The sequence below is a fragment of the Homo sapiens genome, chromosome 6 (assembly GCF_000001405.40).
Source record: "Homo sapiens chromosome 6, GRCh38.p14 Primary Assembly".
Lineage (NCBI taxonomy): Eukaryota > Metazoa > Chordata > Mammalia > Primates > Hominidae > Homo > Homo sapiens.
The window spans coordinates 152,112,878-152,131,186 of record NC_000006.12 but is presented as its reverse complement, the minus strand read 5'-3'; the positions used below and the strand labels follow the sequence as shown (position 1 = coordinate 152,131,186).

At 41.8% G+C, this 18,309-nt stretch overlaps 2 protein-coding genes across 51 annotated transcripts in view; one reads left to right on the top strand and one right to left on the bottom strand.

Moving 5' to 3' along the window:
- SYNE1 (spectrin repeat containing nuclear envelope protein 1) overlaps nucleotides 1-9,500 on the top strand; it is a 515,676-nt gene extending 506,176 nt beyond the window's left edge. For 42 of the 50 annotated variants that reach the window (XM_047418508.1, XM_017010610.2, XM_017010609.2 and 39 more), the window contains 2 exons: nucleotides 409-467; nucleotides 8,511-9,500. In XM_047418508.1, coding sequence (XP_047274464.1) covers nucleotides 409-467; nucleotides 8,511-8,751 — 300 coding nt within the window. In that variant the 3' untranslated portion in view covers nucleotides 8,752-9,500. The remainder of the gene's footprint in view (nucleotides 1-408; nucleotides 468-8,510) is intronic. The other 8 variants (XM_047418512.1, XM_017010618.2, XM_017010617.2 and 5 more) reach the window with 1 other exon arrangement.
- Nucleotides 1,568-18,309, bottom strand: part of ESR1 (estrogen receptor 1) — a 472,948-nt gene continuing 456,206 nt past the window's right edge. The window contains exon 7 of the mRNA NM_001328100.2: nucleotides 1,568-5,921. Coding sequence (NP_001315029.1) covers nucleotides 5,839-5,921 — 83 coding nt within the window. The 3' untranslated portion in view covers nucleotides 1,568-5,838. The remainder of the gene's footprint in view (nucleotides 5,922-18,309) is intronic.

The following is an 18,309-nucleotide window of genomic DNA, read 5'->3' as shown; positions in this document are numbered from 1 at the left end:
TATTTCTTATGGGCCAAGAATTTTAACACTGTTTTACTATTCTAAAAGATGAAAAAAAATATATTAAGTGTCTTTGAAATATGTGATATGGCATAGTGCATTTTACATTTATTGTATGTAAATATACACATGTGTTTCTACCATGAAAAGCCATGAGAATTATGCCCACCATAGTATGGACTCCAGAATCCCAACTTAATGTTTTATCAGTGGCTAATCACATAGATATAAATTTATTTTACTTCTTCAACAAAAGAAAAGCCAGTTTCCTTAATTCATGGGTACTGATCATTTCATTTGATTTATTTTTCCTTTGCTGCACTTTTAGTTTAATTTTCATTAGTAGCTTGTCTTTATTTGCCTGGACTGAACATTCTTCTTTCTTTACCCCCTGTTCATTGCAAACAGCCACGAGGCAAGTGTAGTCTCTCACAGCCTGGACCCTCTGTCAGCAGTCCACATAGCAGGTACCTCCTTCTCCTGGTTTCCACACTGTTCTAGAACCCCAAGAGGATGATGAAAATTGTCCATGACTTAGGTTGACCTATATCTGGTCTGCCTCAGGGTAGTTGGGAAATTACTCATTTCAGTCCACACCCTTTCCTCATACATTGGAAGAGAAGTTTCTGAATGAAATGTTCAAGTAAATTTCAGAGCATAAAATATTTGGACTCCGTGAAAATTCTGTTTGTCTCAACATAGCCCATCTGGTACTTTTCATCAAATTGTCAATAAGGATTTGATTACAATTGGTGGCACCACTGCCATTTGATTCATGGCAGACTTTTATCATCCTCTTTATTTCTAGAGTTTACAATAAGACAGGTAATCGATCAGTGAATTCTTTTACCATTCACAAAACCCGCATATCTGAATAAAATATACTAACATCCCCAACTTTTTATTTTATTTTCATGTTTTATCCAGATTGTGGGTTTTGGAGTCTCAAAATGGCAAGTCCTAATTTGGTGTTCATTGGAAATTTATAAGTACCTTCTCTCTTCTGCTTATCCTAAAACTTCCCTTCATCCAGCACACCCAGCCACTCACTTTCCGGGCACTTGGCAAGCTCACTCTGGAACCCGCAGCAGCCAGTGCCCCTGCCCAGTCACCTCCCGAGAGCCGACTCACAGCTGCCACTCCGCGCTTCCTGCCTGGCCTCCAGCAGCCCCTCACTCCCGCAGTTAGCAGTGCTTTGCCTTCTTTGTTGTCGGTGTGGTGTCTGTGCTCCTCTGCTCCTCCACTGATCAGTTCAAGTTTCCCCAGACAGCTTTCTAAAAAATGAAAACACTGTCCTCGGAGCCTGTTTTCATTCCAGTCCCTAGCAATTCACTGTTAAAGTAGCTTGTCCCTCTGGAAACTTATCACCACTGAGCAGGAATCTGAATTCCTGGAAGGAGGGTGGGGATGAGGAAATGTAGAACTGTAAACAACCCTTGAGTAATAATTTTAGTTTTCCAGCTGTACATAAGGGACTGGCTATTTCATTTGGTCCTTCCCACTCGGCTGAAGTCAGGCAGAACGTATTTTCATATGTTCTCTGGTTTTAGACCTCCCTGTACTGTTTTTTTTTTTCTTTTCATTTCCTTTGGTTTGGTTTGAAGACAATTTTATGAGTTTTTTTTTTTCTAGCCTAAACAAAATAGCAATAATAAAGTATGGAGAAAAACTCTTGGGGACTTTTGAAGATAATGACGAGCATCCGCAGATGCTCTAAGGTTTGCTCAGCCCCCTATAAGTAGAGACAGTTTCTTTTAGGCAGATCATTGTGTTATATAGTCCATCTTTTCCCCACAAATTGCTGATGTACCATGAACAGAGATGAAGAATATCCCCACAGCATTCCTTCGAGGATACCAGAGATCAGTTCTTTGGTTGATACAAATGATAGTGACGAGAAGGGGGAAAGCGCTTATGTTATGATGCAACGCCAACAGCAGTCACTCTTTGGTTCCCAAATATTGCGTCTATCTGCTCTCCGCATTGTTTCAGACAGCCACATAGATCTTTTGAAAATGTCGAAGGCATCGTTTCTTAGGGCAGCAAGTGCTTCCTCATGCCTCCTAACAGGGCTTTGCAGCTGGGACAGCCACATTCTCACTACGACACTCGCAAGGCGCCTTTCAGCTCTGCTCTGTCCAGCACGGTTCATTAACATCTTTCTGAGCATTCAGCACAGTGTTCACTTTGCTACTCAGGTGGGACTGGAACATAAATAATCTTCACCTGAATGGCAAACGTCATCCAACACCTTCACAGACAGGTTGTGGTTGAACATTCTTGGGCTTCGTTACCGTCGGTACCTCTGTTTGGGGCACACCCAACCCCGAGAATGAAAGGCAGAGTCTGCTGGGGAAGAATGAACTTCACCCACAGTCCAGGCTGTCGTGGTGTTCCTTTACATTGAGACTTGAGATATCTCGTGTTTAATCTTGCACTGGTCCAGCAAATTGGAAAGGTTATTGCAGAAGCATAAATAGTTTAGAATGTTGTTTCCAGCAGTCTGCAATGGGAAATTTTTAGATACGCATTCTTCCTGAGAGGAGAAAGAGACTGAGTTGGAAGAAACTGACTATTAGTTTGAAGGGAGGAGTTACTCATTTGGTTTCTTTGTTGTTGTTTAAAGTCAGATGTTAATATTATACTAGCCTGTTACATATTTCAATTTGATTTGATGGTGGTGATTCTGTATCTTCATACAGTATTTTAAACCTACATATGAATTGATGCCAATAGGTACTGAACACCTACTAAATTTAGGCCCTGGGCCTACAAAATTAATTCAATGTGATTCCTACCATTAAAAGACTTGCAGTATATCAGAATCTAGAGATTCCCTAAATCGTTACAGGGAGCTCCCTAGAACTTCTTAAAATTAGAAACATAAAAATCTGTGCATACATTCATAATAACCATATTTGTGACTGTTATTTGAGGTTAAACACACTTTAGAAGCATGCTTTCAAAGCAAATGCTTATGATGGTCTAGCTGGTACTTTTTCCCTACGTTTGACTTAAAATTTTCTAACCTTATCGCCATTAATTCTTCAAAACACTACTGCAACTGAGTTGAAATTGACAGCTAGAAAGATTTCACTCCAATTTCCAGCAAGGCAAAGGAATAATTGCACTGTAGTCCGGATGTAGCAAATTGATGACTTCATTCTAAAGCTTAGAATTGTAAAATGCAAAATTGCCTTGGGCACCTTAGGTCTCTGGCACCTTCTTTACAGAGAACTAAGATGGAATGAGAAGTGGCAAATGACTGGCCGAAACACTGAAAGAGGGAAAAAAGCCCTCATTTAAAAATGTATTCAAGTTAATCAGATACATTTAAGCAAGGGCAGTGGGGGTTTTTTGCATGTACACTAGGGCCTCACTATAAACACTACTCAGTTTCTTGTAGAATTTGTTTTGAAGTCTTTTCATTATCTGGGGATCTATTTATTCAAAGCATTCAAAGAGCCTCAGCACAGAGCCTCTCCCCTCTAAGGCAGATTGCTCACCCGTGCCCCAAGGAAAGCTGTAGGGTAAGGCTCCGATAGGTTTCTCTGTTGCTATTTGAGGTAGGCCTTCCTGGTGTTTCTAGGGAACAAGACAGGCAGTTTGAGAAATTTATCACATGCTTGAAAGCACTATTAATAAATCAGGTATGTTTTCCCGAGAGAAAAGGCCGAATCCAGCCAACCCCTAAGGGTATGAGTCGGCACACCCTTGGTATCATTATACAGATAATAGTGATAAGCTGCTGACATTCATTTAGTACTTAATGTGTTTCAATTATTTAGTGCTTAATTGTATACATGCTAAGCATTGTATGTGTTTTACCTCATTTAACCCTCACAAGAATCCCATGACATGGCTATATTCCCAATTTATAGACAAGGACACTGGGGATTAGAGGTGTAAAGATGTAGGATTTGAACCCAGGTCTCCCCTGACTCCAGACCCTACCCCGTTAACCGTACCACTCTGCTGAAGGGCCATTGATGGGTAGAAGCCTTTAAACAATGGTTTTAGAGCTGAGGCCACCACAGGCTGCCTCAGGTAGTTTAGGATTAGCAAGAATGTTTGGTTTGGAAAAAAAGAAGACCTGGGTCCTAACTTGATTCTGGAAACTTGTCTCCTGAACCATATATCCAGGAAACACTGGGTTTCAAAGACAAGACACATAAGGGCAGGATCAAGATCACGGACAATCTAGATGTTTCTGCAAAATAAATCTGTTACATACTGCCAGTGTTAGCCGAAAAGTAACAAAATAAATTAGAAGTTTCTTCTCATTTGGCTTTAAATGATGCATGCACGAAATTAACTCATTTTCATTTCCTTGATTATAAACAATTTTCAAAGTGAGTCATACCCTATGTGCATGGCATTCAGACTTCTCACAATTGTGTGTCCTACACACTTTCTTTTGAAGGGTGTGATTTTAGCCACTACTCCCTCCCTGCCATTCTCCTTATCCCGCAATTGTCTAGGTATTTTGGGACAGAGATGAAGCAACTCCTGGGCAGCTATTTACCTGGAAATTTGAAGGAGTGAGGGAAGTGAGAAAAATAAATAAAAATTTACTTGTAGCAAATAAGCACGTTTTTTGCTGGACAGAACTATCTGATATATCTGTATTGATGATGTTCCTTAAGGAGGCTCACACATTTAATTTTTCCTATATAAACACAATCTAAACTGGCATCCATGTATGTAATAAGACCAGAGGAGAATGACCAGTGGGTAGTCAACAAGTTGCCTTTGTTCTTTCCCTTATGAAATTTCCCAAGACTCTAGAAACTTAGGTGATTTTTAGCACAGTAGCTAAATATTAAAAATAACCCTTTCCCTGGGACCATTAGCTTCTTGATACTAAAATCGCTAGAACAAGTTCCCCCTGAAGATGAGGCAGCTTTGGGCATGTTGAAACTCTGGTAATTACCCCAAGGGGACAGGCATTTTCCCAGTGGATAGTTCGGATATTTTCAAGGGCAGCCAGCTGCACGGACAGTCACTGAATATTGTGTGTTCTCTCTGTCCCCATCTCAGCCCATGACTTCTTCCTAGCTTGGCGTTCTTCAGCATTAGAAGTCATGCACAAATTAAATTTTAATAAAAAATGCTCTGATGCTGTTAAATGTGCCATGTCCTTCAACAGACTCCAACATAGGAGTCCACATTCTGTAAATGGTGACATTTTTATCAAAAATGGGCAAGTAAATTAGTCTCTCTGGCCTTCAGTTTTCTCATTTGCAAAGATGAGGGGTGCATTAATATCCTAAAATTATTTTGGCTGTCATGATTTATGATTCAATGGTTTGCCATTTTTCTCAGGAGTGAACAGGTCAATGGGCAGCCCTTGTTTTGATCTTGATCTTTGACCTAATTGCACAAAGAATTTAACAGTTGACAAACAGGAGCTATTCAGCTCTGTCAGATTGTACTATCAATTATATATGTAAATCTTCCCATCACTAAAGTTCTTAAATGTCTCCTAATGAAAATTAGTCAGGTATTTAATAACTAGGAATTGTGGGAGCTCTCTTCAGTCACTCTGTTATAACTCATCTAGCTACAGGTGTTGAGTGTTGGTTGCCAGGGCATATTTTAAAGTCAGGGGAAGGATGTTTTGAAGAAAATTTGATCCAAAGTTTGTGGGTAGCTATCCTATCCTTCTTAAGACACTTTAAGGCAAACCATTGAATCATTGCAAATGAGAAAACTGAAGGCCAGAGAGACTAATTTACTTGCCCATGGTCATGTAACTGCCTCAAAACAAAATGTCCCCACGTCCACACACGGATTTGATGATCTGCAGGATACTGTGAGGCCTTATGACCAGAGGCTTTAGACACGAGGAAACCACTTGTTTCCAAATATTTTAGGATGCAAGTTCAGGATTCTCTTCTTTGCTTCTACATGTGAGATACCTGTGAAATGAATACGACCTGAATTACCATTACCATTATTCCTATCACCAACCAGCAAAACATTTCACAGCAGAGAGTGCGGTGGGCAGGGATTTTGGAAGCCTGAGTCCCTGCTAGGCCTCTTCCTTTAACTGTAGAATCTGAAGCAAGTCATTCAGCCTGTCTAGAGTCTCCAGGTTCTGGTAGTTAAAATCACAGGGTTGAAATCTTCTGCCACTGGCTGTGTGAGCTTGAGCCAGTTATTTCACTTCCCTGAGCTTTCTTTCACATCATCTGTAAAATGAAGTTAATAAGTACACACCGCAGAGGACTGCTGTGGGGATTAAATGACAGAACCCAACATAAATGCTCAGAGTGCTGCCTAGCAATTAGAAGAGTAAACATGAACTGTCCTTAGCTACTCCCCTACAAAATTAGGAGATGAACTGGATGCTCTCTAAGGCCCTGTCTCAACATGAATATTTTATGCTCAGGTAACTCAAGAAGTTTCTATTTTCCTTTTCCATTAATAAGGTATATGACATACTTCTTTTATGTTCTACTATATTTTCACAAAATATACTTTTTTTTTCCCTCAGCTTATTAGGAATAACTCATTGGTCTTAGCACAAGGGCAGTTAATCAGTTTGACCACTAGATGGTGATTGAGCTCTTGTGGCTTCTTGGGAGATTATTTATACTGACAAATCAGTAGAAGACAAAAACATCGAACAGTAAACTTTAAAGTTAGAAGACCATCTATGCTAATTTGAAGAGGTTAGTGAAGAGGTTGACACCTAGAGATGAAGTGAGTTGTTCAAGGTTACATTACCCTGCCGTTACTTGTGTGGATTTCAGAAAAGAACATGCTTCCAATTTAAACCAGTGATTTGATTTTTCCTTACACCACAAGAAGTGTATAGAAACACTGCGTGCTGCCTGTTTCTTGGGGTTTCTGCAGAACCAATATCTGTTTTTGAGATAGAGTCTCGCTCTGTTGCCCAGGATGGAGTGCAGTGGTGTTCCGATCATGGCTCACTGCAGCCTCCGCCTCCCGGGTTCAAGCGATTCTCCTGCCTCAGCCTCCCAAGTGACTGGGACTACAGGCACACGCCACCAGGCCTGACTAATTTTTGTATTTTTACCATGTTGGCCAGGCTGGCTTGAACTCCTGGCCTCAAGTGATCCGCCAACCTCAGCCTCCCAAAGCGCTGGGATTACAGGCGGGAGCCACTGTGCCCAGCCCTCTCCCATTTTTCTTTGATGGTTTAATAAAAGAGTTTTGAATACTCCCTCTGTTCCCTTCTAAGGGGATTCTATCTGTTTTTAACATTTATTTTCTTAGGTGTCACTCCGCATCCCCCACCGATATTAGGGTAGTCTGTCTTCAGAAATTAATAGGTAATAGGTGAGCTACAAACATAGTGCTTTCTTCTGGACCAAACCTACAGTTACCAATACAGCTTTCACACGCTCATATTATTTCAGTAGCCTCACATACAATGTCCTTATCCTTGGTGATATTAAAACTCTTAAGGAATTTATACTAGTTGTGAGGGAGTGTTTCTTTTGGCTACATCTTTTATTTTTGTTCATTCAATGTTGTATGGGTCTGAGTGTACACCAAATGCCTGTCGTAAACAACATTTCTTTCTTCATCTTTTCTGCTAGTAACCAAAAAAAGGTAATGGCTGTTCACAAAAAGAAAACAGTAGCACCCAACTCAGAATCTACTTCCAGATTCTGTATTTTCCAGGCAGTCCTTCTTAAGAGTTCTGAAACCTGTACTCAATCTCTAATGCACTGTTTAAAAGGAAGATAAAAGTGAAATAGAAAAACTTGTCACTTTGAGTGTAGAAGGGGCTGTAGGATGACAGTCCATCCTCCTCAGAAAATGGTGTCCATTTTCCAAAGTAATGACGTCAGTGATAGGATCAGCCTAGCATCTACATCATACAACACCAGTGTTCTGTAGACAGACTCCACTGCTATTCCTTGTTCGTACAGCTTTGGAACCCGCTAATGTCAGGGCCTGATGCTGATTCAGTGCAAGATGAAACCAGGGTATGCTCTATGATTAATGAAGCTTTTATGGGTCTGTGCAAAATGACAAAGACTGTTTTTATTTTTGCTGCATGGATTTTGGCATATCCAGGATGGCTAGATGGGATACTTGGTATGATTCTGACAGCAACTAATTTTGCTTAACAATGTTCATGATATTCTTAAAACAAAAATATGCTGCATCAAATATCTACATTTTAATTATTCTGGATCTACTTAATTCATGCTAGTAGAATGTGTATAGAGCAGTTATTTTCGTTGATAGAAAATGTTTCACCACATTAAGGGGTAAAAGGAGTAGAATTTGAACCTAATTACTTACGTTTAGTTGACTGACTAAATGTTTATTTCTTGTCAGTGCAGTTTCCAACAACCTCATTTGATGGTGGGGGGTGACCTGGGCACACTGTGGAAGGCTGGCAGCTGATCGCCAGGCTGGGGTGTGCTTGGCATGGCCCTTTAGCTTCCAGGAAGGTGCAGAGGCAAAAAGCAGCGTCCCTCCGACACTGGAGTTATCTGAGTAATTTATGTCCATTCTTCTCTCAGGTCCACAAAAGGTGGCTCCGATTCCTCCCTTTCTGAGCCAGGGCCAGGTCGGTCCGGCCGCGGCTTCCTGTTCAGAGTCCTCCGAGCAGCTCTTCCCCTTCAGCTTCTCCTGCTCCTCCTCATCGGGCTTGCCTGCCTTGTACCAATGTCAGAGGAAGACTACAGCTGTGCCCTCTCCAACAACTTTGCCCGGTCATTCCACCCCATGCTCAGATACACGAATGGCCCTCCTCCACTCTGAACTAAGCAGATGCCATCTGCAGAAGTGCTGGTAGCATAAGGAGGATCGGGTCATAAGCAATCCCAAACTACCAACAAGAGGACCTTGATCTTGGCGAAAGCCCTCGGTGTGGCAGCTTTAGCCCTCCTCCAGATCACATGTGTGCAAATTATGGCTTCAGAGGTGGAAGATAAACAGTGACGGGGGAACAAACAGACAACAAGAAGGTTTGGAAGAAATCTGGTTTGAGACTCTGAACCTTAGCACTAAGGAGATTGAGTAAGGACCTCCAAAGTTCCCCGGACTCATGAATTCTGGGCCCTTGGCCCATTCTGTGCACAGCCAAGGACTTCAGTAGACCATCTGGGCAGCTTTCCCATGGTGCTGCTCCAACCATCAGATAAATGACCCTCCCAAGCACCATGTCAGTGTCGTACAATCTACCAACCAACCAGTGCTGAAGAGATTTTAGAACCTTGTAACATACAATTTTTAAGAGCTTATATGGCAGCTTCCTTTTTACCTTGTTTTCCTTTGGGGCATGATGTTTTAACCTTTGCTTTAGAAGCACAAGCTGTAAATCTAAAAGGCACTTTTTTTTAGAGGTATAAAGAAAAACTAGATGTAATAAATAAGATCATGGAAGGCTTTATGTGAAAAAAGTTGAATGTTATAGTAAAAAAAAAAAGATATTTATGTATGTACAGTTTGCTAAAGCCAAGTTTTGTTTGTATTGATTTCTTTGCATTTATTATAGATATTATAAAATAGTTTGTCTGTGCTTTTTTTTCCCTAAACAAATAACTCTAAGTTTCATTATTAAGCAGGCACTGATCAGAATGCAACCTAAATGATCATTTTTCTGTGCAATGAATGAAGCTGGAACATTAGTGTATATTAAAGGAAAAGGATGGCAAGAGGCAGCATGGATTTAGACATAGAAGACCCCAGGTGATTCCTTTTTTTCTCTTCCTTCCATAGTCAATCAAATCTCCTGAATTCTTGTTTCCGGAAACCTTTCATCCTCTATTCTCCATTCCTTTTGCACATGGGAGAGGCTTCCTAGGAGCTGATATCTGAGGTCCCTTCTCCATTCCATTGCGAGCAGACAACAGCCACAGAAATCTTCTTAAAGCACACTTCTGTTCAGATTCCTTCTTTGCTGCAAAGCCTTCTATTGTTCATTGTCTACCGGATAAAATACAGTTTTCTTCTATCATTTAAGTCCATATGCAATGAGATTTTATTTTGCTCCTCTGAACTTGCCTACTATAGTGGACTTCATGGAATTATGTGATGCTCGTGGCATTTTAATGTATCATTTAATAATTCTGGGGCACATAAAACTCAGGTCTCTGGCTTCTCTTCTGGTAGACAGCTCTGGTGCCCTAGTCCGGAGCACATATTCCTGCATGGCAGTAATTGCCGGAGCTTGTTGGCTGCTGTCCCTTCCAGAATTGGGGGAGAGAGAGAGAGTATCTCCTCTTTGTACTTGTAAACCTTCAACTTCTCTCAAGGTCTGTGTCACCCTAGCCCCAGAGGTATTTAAGTTTACAAATCCTGCTCTAAATTGAGTATTTAAACCAAACTGAGGCCCTTCACCTTGCCTGAAACTGCCGTCTGTGCTTTCCATAATGCAGGTAGTCTGAGTCCATCTCAACTAGGGTTCCTGGGGTTTGCTAGATTTTCCAAGTCCCGGGCTTGCTTCAGACCTCCTAGTTCAACCTCTGGGATGGGGCCTGGGAGCCGGCATTTTAAAGAGATGCCTGAGGAGACTTTATTCCTCCTAACTGCTGAAAAGCACTGCCCTCTGCTTCCTTAACTTCATTCCTCCTTGCCTGCCCCACAGGACTCAGCTCACAAGCCACCTCCTTCTTGAAAAATTTCCTGATCACTTTCACACTGTATTTAAGACTTCTCTCTACTACTCGGCTTCTTGCCGTCAGATTGTCTGTATCTTATGGCCCATGAACCCATCGTGTTCCACAGGGAACACGATGGATCGCCCCCCGCCCACTGTTATTTTATAGAGAAGACCACCTCGTGGTTAAAGTGTCCCATCTTCCCGCTTCTGGAGAGGCTGTGAGCAGCGGTGGCCATTGGCGTTGAAGGGTGCCCTGCACCCTCATCTGAGATGGAGCACTCTTCAGGCCTCGCTCTTCCCTCACTTTCCTGTCACTCCTCCCGATATCTGGAAGGAGAAGTCCTCCCTCCAGAGCAGTTTTGCCCTTCAGGGGGTATGGAAATCCCACACAATGAAGAGTGTCATCGTGGAAAAGGCAAGCGCAAAGAGACTTCAGAAGCATTTCTTCTCCACATCACTGTCAACTGACTTCCTCCTAGGCATCTCCCGTCACTGAAGAATCAAATGGCAAATGTTGCTGAGAAAAACATTTGGTTTCAATTAAGAAAAATCTTAGCATACATTCCATCTGTGCCTTTCTCAAAACCCTGTGAAACCCCCAAAGGGGTGTAGAACATCCATTTCCATTACATTTTTGAAGATTTAAACAACAGAACCTTCGAAGAAGTAGGGAACCCTGGTGAGTGCAAACATTGAACCCATGAGGTCGTGGCTCTTCCCCAGATGATTGATTGGCCAATTTAGCAAGGGCCACGCCAGACGCAGATGATGGGGAGATGGGTATGGGGCCATGAGCATCCTCACCCGCACCCAGCGGTTGCTCTGGCAACAGAGAGAAAAAGCTTCATGGAAGGGATGTGGGATGGTTTAAAGAATAGTAAGGAGATAAAAGGACACTGATGGCTGCTGAAGAAGCTTCCATTTCTGCAGTGAGGACAGTCAGGAGCCCTGCTGTGGCCTGGAGAGAGGGAATGGTGTCCCAAGTGAGTGCTGGGTGAGGAAGGGCATAAAGAGACCATCCACTGACCAGGAAGGATGGGAAGGGAAGGGTTAATAACATGGTGGTAAGGAGATTTGCACAAGCAAATGGGAAATATTAGAAAAGTGAACAAAGAATCCAATATAGCTAACATGGAAAAATAAGGCATTAGAATCTAAAAGTAGTAACTTAATAAGAAATCCCGGGAGAAATGAAAGGATTTTTTGGGAAATGATGGCTGAGGAGCAGGAATGTCCCTCCTGGAAAATGGACCCACAGTAGCTTCTCTTGTTTTTGTAAGAAGTGAGAAGAGAAGACTTCTGAAGGCCCAGATGGGAAATTCAACATGCCGAGGCCTGAGATTTACTATAAAAATGCAGGTTAGAGTAGATTGATTGATAGCCTACACCCCAGGGCCAAATATTAAGACATTATAGCTACAAAACTTAATTGACAAACCACATAAAAGATCGTAAAGCAAAGAATAGTGGAGAGAGATGATTTATGAAAGCTAATCGTGTCCAGAAAAGCCGGGCCTCCCAGGGCTGGTCTGGGCTGCCTGAAAGCAGCCCAGTGGACAGGTTCCTTGTTCGGTGCAACCAATTCACCAGCACCATCGCCAAACCTTCACAGGGGATTGTGGAGAAATTGAAATATCCTGAGTGTGTACCAGATAGGTCCAGAAGTGCCTGGGGAGAGCAACAGACATTAATCTCTCAAGTAGTTCACTGAATGCCCACTATGTGGCAGGAACTGCTCCAAGCTCCCTCGGGGAGTCCTCTCGGGGAGGACCTCAGAAGTTCTTGTGTTTGTTTGTTTTATTTTTATTTTTTATTTTACTTTAGGTTCTGGGATACATGTACTGAACGTGCAGGTTTGTTACACAGGTATACATGTGCCATGGTGGTTTGCTGCACCTATCAACCCATCATCTAGGTTTTAAGCCCTGCATGCATTAGGTATTTGCCCTAATGCTCTCCCTCCCCTTGCCCCCCACCCCTTACCTCCTACCCCCCTGACAGGCCCCAGTGTGTGGTGCTCCCTTCCCTGTGTCTATGTGTTCTCATTGTTCGTCTCCCACTTATGAGTGAAAACGTGTGGTGTTTGGTTTTCTGTTCCTGTGTTAGTTTGCTGAGGATGATGGTCTTCATCCGTGTCCCTGCAAAGGACAAGAACTCATTCTTTTTTATGGCTGCATAGTATTCCATGGTGTATTCATGCCACATTTTCTTTATCCAGTCTATCATTGATGGGCATTTGGGTGGGTTCTTGTTTAATGACTCATTAAAAGCAGTCACCAGTGGGCCTTTGACATAGAGAAGAATCCATATTTCCCAGCACCAGTTATGTCCTGAAATGGGATGAAGGCAAATGAGGAAACTAGAAGGGAATTTAATAGAAACAATATCTAATTTAGGGGAGGAAAGGGAGATTAAAGCTGTTAGATCTCTATTTTCTATGAGCAAATTCCTCTGCTTTTAGCTTCTTGGTCACCCAGTTTATGTTACAGTGGGATGTGTTTTTGAAGAGTATGAATGTCCATCTGCAGAAATGGAGGCAGGTGGAGTGGTTTATAAGCATGGAGGCAATTTTTCACTTAGGTATAACACTGAGAAGTTAATTCAGGAAACAGGTGTTTTTCTGAGTGTGGTCATCTCAATTTTAGATTTAGTAGTACCCTGGGGTAACTGTGGCTGATTGTCATACCTAAAGTCACCCAAAGATAATGAAACTGAAAGCGAAGGACTTTTATTCTTCAATTCCCAGCTTCTCACTAACCTGTCCCTTGAAGTTTTAAAATATGCACCAAGAATCCACTGGAGGCTACCACAGACAGGCCTAAATTTGGGAGAGAACCCTCACTCAGATGAATAAGTGCATGAACAAGGTGCAGCCTTCTGCAGCCGAAGGAAGCTAAGGGGGCTGGACAGTTGGGAATGATTAATGAGAAGCAGGGTGATGTGCTGTAACACAAGCTGAACAATGAGAACATTTAATCTAGGGAGCTGAGGAAGCCGGTTGGGACTTGGATATAATCTTTCTAAAATATGAAGGTCACAGAAAAATAAATCAGGCTCATGAATTTGCTTAACCTGTTACCTAATACAAGAGTGGGAACATAACTGAATTTGAAAACCGCAATTATGTCAGGAGAAGAAAGTCCTGGGTAAGCCTCGTCACAGATTTGATGCTACAGGCAATCGAGAAGAAATCCAGATCTCCCTGCTGAATATTCACATCAGAGCCTCACAGATGTGCGTTCCCAGCTCAGGCTTAAATCCTGCCGGACACATTCTTGGAGCTGTTGTTGGGCTCAGAAAGCAAAGCTGCCAAGCAGCTGCCAACTTCGACAGCAATTCCAGGCAGCCAACCCCAAACCCCATTTATTGGCAGGAACCCAGTGGAGGCCATGTCCACCCCTTGCCCCACACCTCCTTGTGGGATTTACAGGTTGAGTGGACACTGTAGGGATGTAAGTAGCCATGGCTTTCAGAGTGGGTTTGGCTCACCTGTGGCTCAAAGAATCAATATTACCTGGAAACCTGTTAAGAATGCACCACATTCAGCCCTAGGGCTGGGCTTCCAAGCTACCACCTGCACTGGATTTCTCCATCTTTGGGCCCTTTAACTCTCTCCAGTTGGCCATGATAGCAAGCAGTAACAGCAAGCTTCCCCATCCTCCTCCACTAACTCAAAATATATTGGCTTCACCGAACAATTGGTTTCCATATAAATCTGGATTTTTATTCTGAACTCTAGTCAATGGTTAGATCTACCTGGCCATTACTGTTTTAATTATAGCAGTATGTAGTATAATTTATTATAATGATGTATATATTTGTATAATATAAAAACAAAATAAAATAGATATAAATAATACAAATATATAAGTATGTACTATAACTAATAATATAGTATATTTGTTACTTCAAGTTTTAATACATCTTAGGAAAAGCCTCATTTCTTTCTCGCTGTGTATGTGTCTATTTTAAAGGCTAATTGTTAAAAAAAAGTCAATTATTTTGATTACAAAAGATCCTCTTGTGTTTCACAGAAAACTAAGTTTCCTATCTACTCTCTCTACATCATCTCCCGCTTTTATGTTACCTTTCTAGGCCTTTTGATTTTCTTATGCAAACAACATATACATTTTTAAGAATTGGATCTATTCTTATTATTCTGTAACTTGCATTTTTCACTTAACGATGTCCCACAGACATATTGGTACCTGTGCCATCATCCTCACTGAGTTAGAGATCTCAGTATCTCTTTTTCAACCACTGGTTTCTTCCAGGGTTTGTTAGGAATCACGGCTGCAGTAGACACTCTTGCGTGTATATGCATGTGTATCTTTTGATAGTGCTGCTTTTATTTCTCCAAGATGTATTGTTCAAAGTGGAATTACTGAATCAAAAGGTATGTACATTCTTCTTTTAGTAAATTTTAATAAATTCTGCCCGTTTGCTTTCTAAAAAAGTCGTGATGATTTACACTCCCACCCACACCAGAGATGAAAACCTCCTTTGCCTCATACCCTCCTTTAATGTACACTAGTGGTTTCCAAATTACGGGACTTATTCCCAAATTATTAATGTTCAAAGTCTGTACATTAGACTCTCTCAGGAAACTTTTAAAAATGTAGAACCCCAGGCCATACCCCAAACCAATTAAATTGGTAGCTGGGGATCAGTAGTTACTTGAAGGTCCCCAGGCGATTCCCAGGTGCAGACGATTGGGAAGGGCTGGCCTAGATGCTATCAGTTTTCTAAAAATATTGCCCAATTGAGAGCAACAGTAGCTCATTGTTTTTAAAATTTGCATGTCCATGGCTAGTTTGTATAATAATTGTTCCATTTGTATTGCCTCTTCTGTGAAGTCTGTTTTGTGCTCCATTTTTCTTTTATCTTTTAATATTATTTTCAATGACCTCTTTGCATATTAGAAAAATTAAATCTGGATATGAAGTGTCCTGACTTCATATAGTTCTTTCAGTCACACAGAAAGTTTCATTTTTATGTCATCAAACCTGGCAGGTTCTTTTTCCTTGGTAGATTCTAGTTAGTCTACATTAAGAAGGCCTTTTTTTATTTTAAGATTATGCAAAAGTTTCTTTGCATTTTCTTCTAGTAGGTCTATAATCTATCTGGAATTATTTTTGTCATTAGTATGAAGTAAGGAACTAGTTTGTCATTCTCCAAATGAATAGATAATTGTCCCAAAACCAATCAGGGACAAGACAGAGAGGCCCCCTGTTGTTATAATTTTCTAGCAACCTAGATGTTCATCAGCAGGAGGATTGTTGAATTAATTATAGTGCATACCTAGTATTCAGTATGGCGTAACTATTTTTATAAAATGAAATCAATCTATATGTATTGATTAGGGAAAATGCCTACTATATATTCTTACATTTTATAAAAACAAGATATAGAATAATATGATTCCATTTTGTAGGGAAAAACTCGTGTATATAGTAATGGCATGAAGCAAGGTGAAAGTTTGGAGAGACATGTGAAATATAAGGCTTGACATTTTGACTGCAGTCAGAGTGGGGAAAGCACTTTAAACATTTGTATTTAAATTACATCAAGGAGCATGACTTGTTTTTTAGATCCAAGTTGCTATAAGAATAATGATAATTTTAAAAGACAAAAGAAAAGTACTTCAGTTCTTATATGAGGAAACATTTGACTTGCTTTTTTTTTTTTTTTTTTTTTTTTTTGAGACGGAGTCTAGCTCTGTCACCCAGGCTGGAGTGCAGTGGCGCGATCTCGGCTCACTGCAAGCTCCGCCTCCCGGGTTCACGCCATTCTCCTGCCTCAGCCTCCCAAGTAGCTGGGACTACAGGCGCCCGCCACTACGCCCGGCTAATTTTTTGTATTTTTAGTAGAGACGGGGTTTCACCGTTTTAGCCCGGATGGTCTCGATCTCCTGACCTCGTGATCCGCCCGCCTCGGCCTCCCAAAGTGCTGGGATTACAGGCGTGAGCCACCGCGCCCGGCCTTGACTTGCTTTTTAATTAAAAAACTTTTCTTGGTATGCCCGAAATAAATGTTAACAAGTCATTTATTAAAAGTGGCCAAATTCTAATGGATGACTTTGCTCTAGGTTTTCATCTTAAATGCATGGTTGGTTTCATGGCATAAGAGCAAAGGCCTGATTTGAGGTAAGGAGGCTCCCTGACTGGGGGATTTATGAATCCTAGGAGATGAGCTTTCCTAGGAGAGATGTCCAAATGAGACCTACATGTTCACAAAAACCCGCAACTTCCTAAACTACCACCTGCCTCCAGAAGTCACCCTGCTCACAGGTGAAATCAGTTCTTGAGTCGCAGACTGGTCCCCAGAAATGATGGGGCGGGGAGGGACAGTGACTCGAAAGTCATAGGCAGCTTCTCTACCTGTACCTTTCTTTCCTGATGCAGGTGCCAGAGAGTCAGCCTGCTTTCCTTCTGCGTTGAAATCTGTTCCCATTCAACAGCTTCACACAGGATTCTGCCCACCCAAGCCTGGCTTGGGCACGGGGCTCAGTTCCTCCCTCCCACACCTTCCCTATGGTGTTTGCTAATCACAGTGGGAAAACTGATAGAGTAGCTAATGATCTGGACATTTATAAAATCCCTTTTGTCCAAATCTTACAGAGGCTCCTTCCATAACATAAACTCTGGAGCCAAAAATACCTTGGCTCAGTCCCCAGCTCAGCCACTTCCTAGCTGTATAACCTGAGCAACTTACTTAAACTTTCTATTCCTCAGTTTCTTCCTCTGTAAAATGGGATAATAATGGTGCCTCCTGCGTGGGTTGTTATGACGTTAATACATTAATGTATAGGATGTGTTGATGAGGACTGAGGGACAGTTAACGCTATTTTAGTCGTTCCTCTAGTTTGGTTTTGGAAATCGCTATTGGGAATTACCAGATCTTCCCACACTTGTTTTTAATCTTTTTTATGAGGAGAAAGTCTCTTAAAATTGTTAAAATTGTTGTTTCTTTCTTTTTTAAGATTGTGGTTAAACACACACACACACACACACACACAATATGAGATCTTCCCTCTTCACAAATGTGTCAGTGTACAGCTCAGTTCGTTACTTCTCAGCACAATGTTGTAGGGCAGACCTCTGTCTCAGACTCTCGACAGCCCTGCGGTAACTGAGGACTCAGCCAGTGGGAATGGAAAGACTCCCTCCCAGATGAGTGCATTTCCCAGGCCCTCCCTTTCCAGGTGCCCCCCGCCCCATGCAGAGGACCACCTGTCAGGGACTCTTACTCCTTTCATCAGGAGGGTACCTGTGGCTTGATGGTGCCTGACAAAGGTCAGGGAATTACAGTCCCTGCCTGTTTTTATAGGCCCTTGAGCTAAGAATGGGTTTTATATTTTCAAAGAATTGTAAAGCAAAGAGAGACAAACAAACAAACAAACAAACAGAAATGCCTAAACTACTTACTCTTTGGCCCTGTACAGAAAAATTTGCTGACCTGTGATAGAGCCACCCAAGACACACAGCACTGGCGGCAGGGTGGGACAGGCAGCGCCCCGGCCTTTTGCGCTTCTTTCTCCTGAAACAGTTCTCAGAATGGGCATCCTCTTTGGGTGAGCTCAGCACTCGCCCCACCTCCATCTGACTGCCATTTGGGGTTCTTCCCTGAAAACACGTTCGTGACATCCATCCATGAAGAATTCTCTCTTTCATTTTGATGTTCCCTTTTTGTTTTTTCTTGGATTCTGTAGGGGG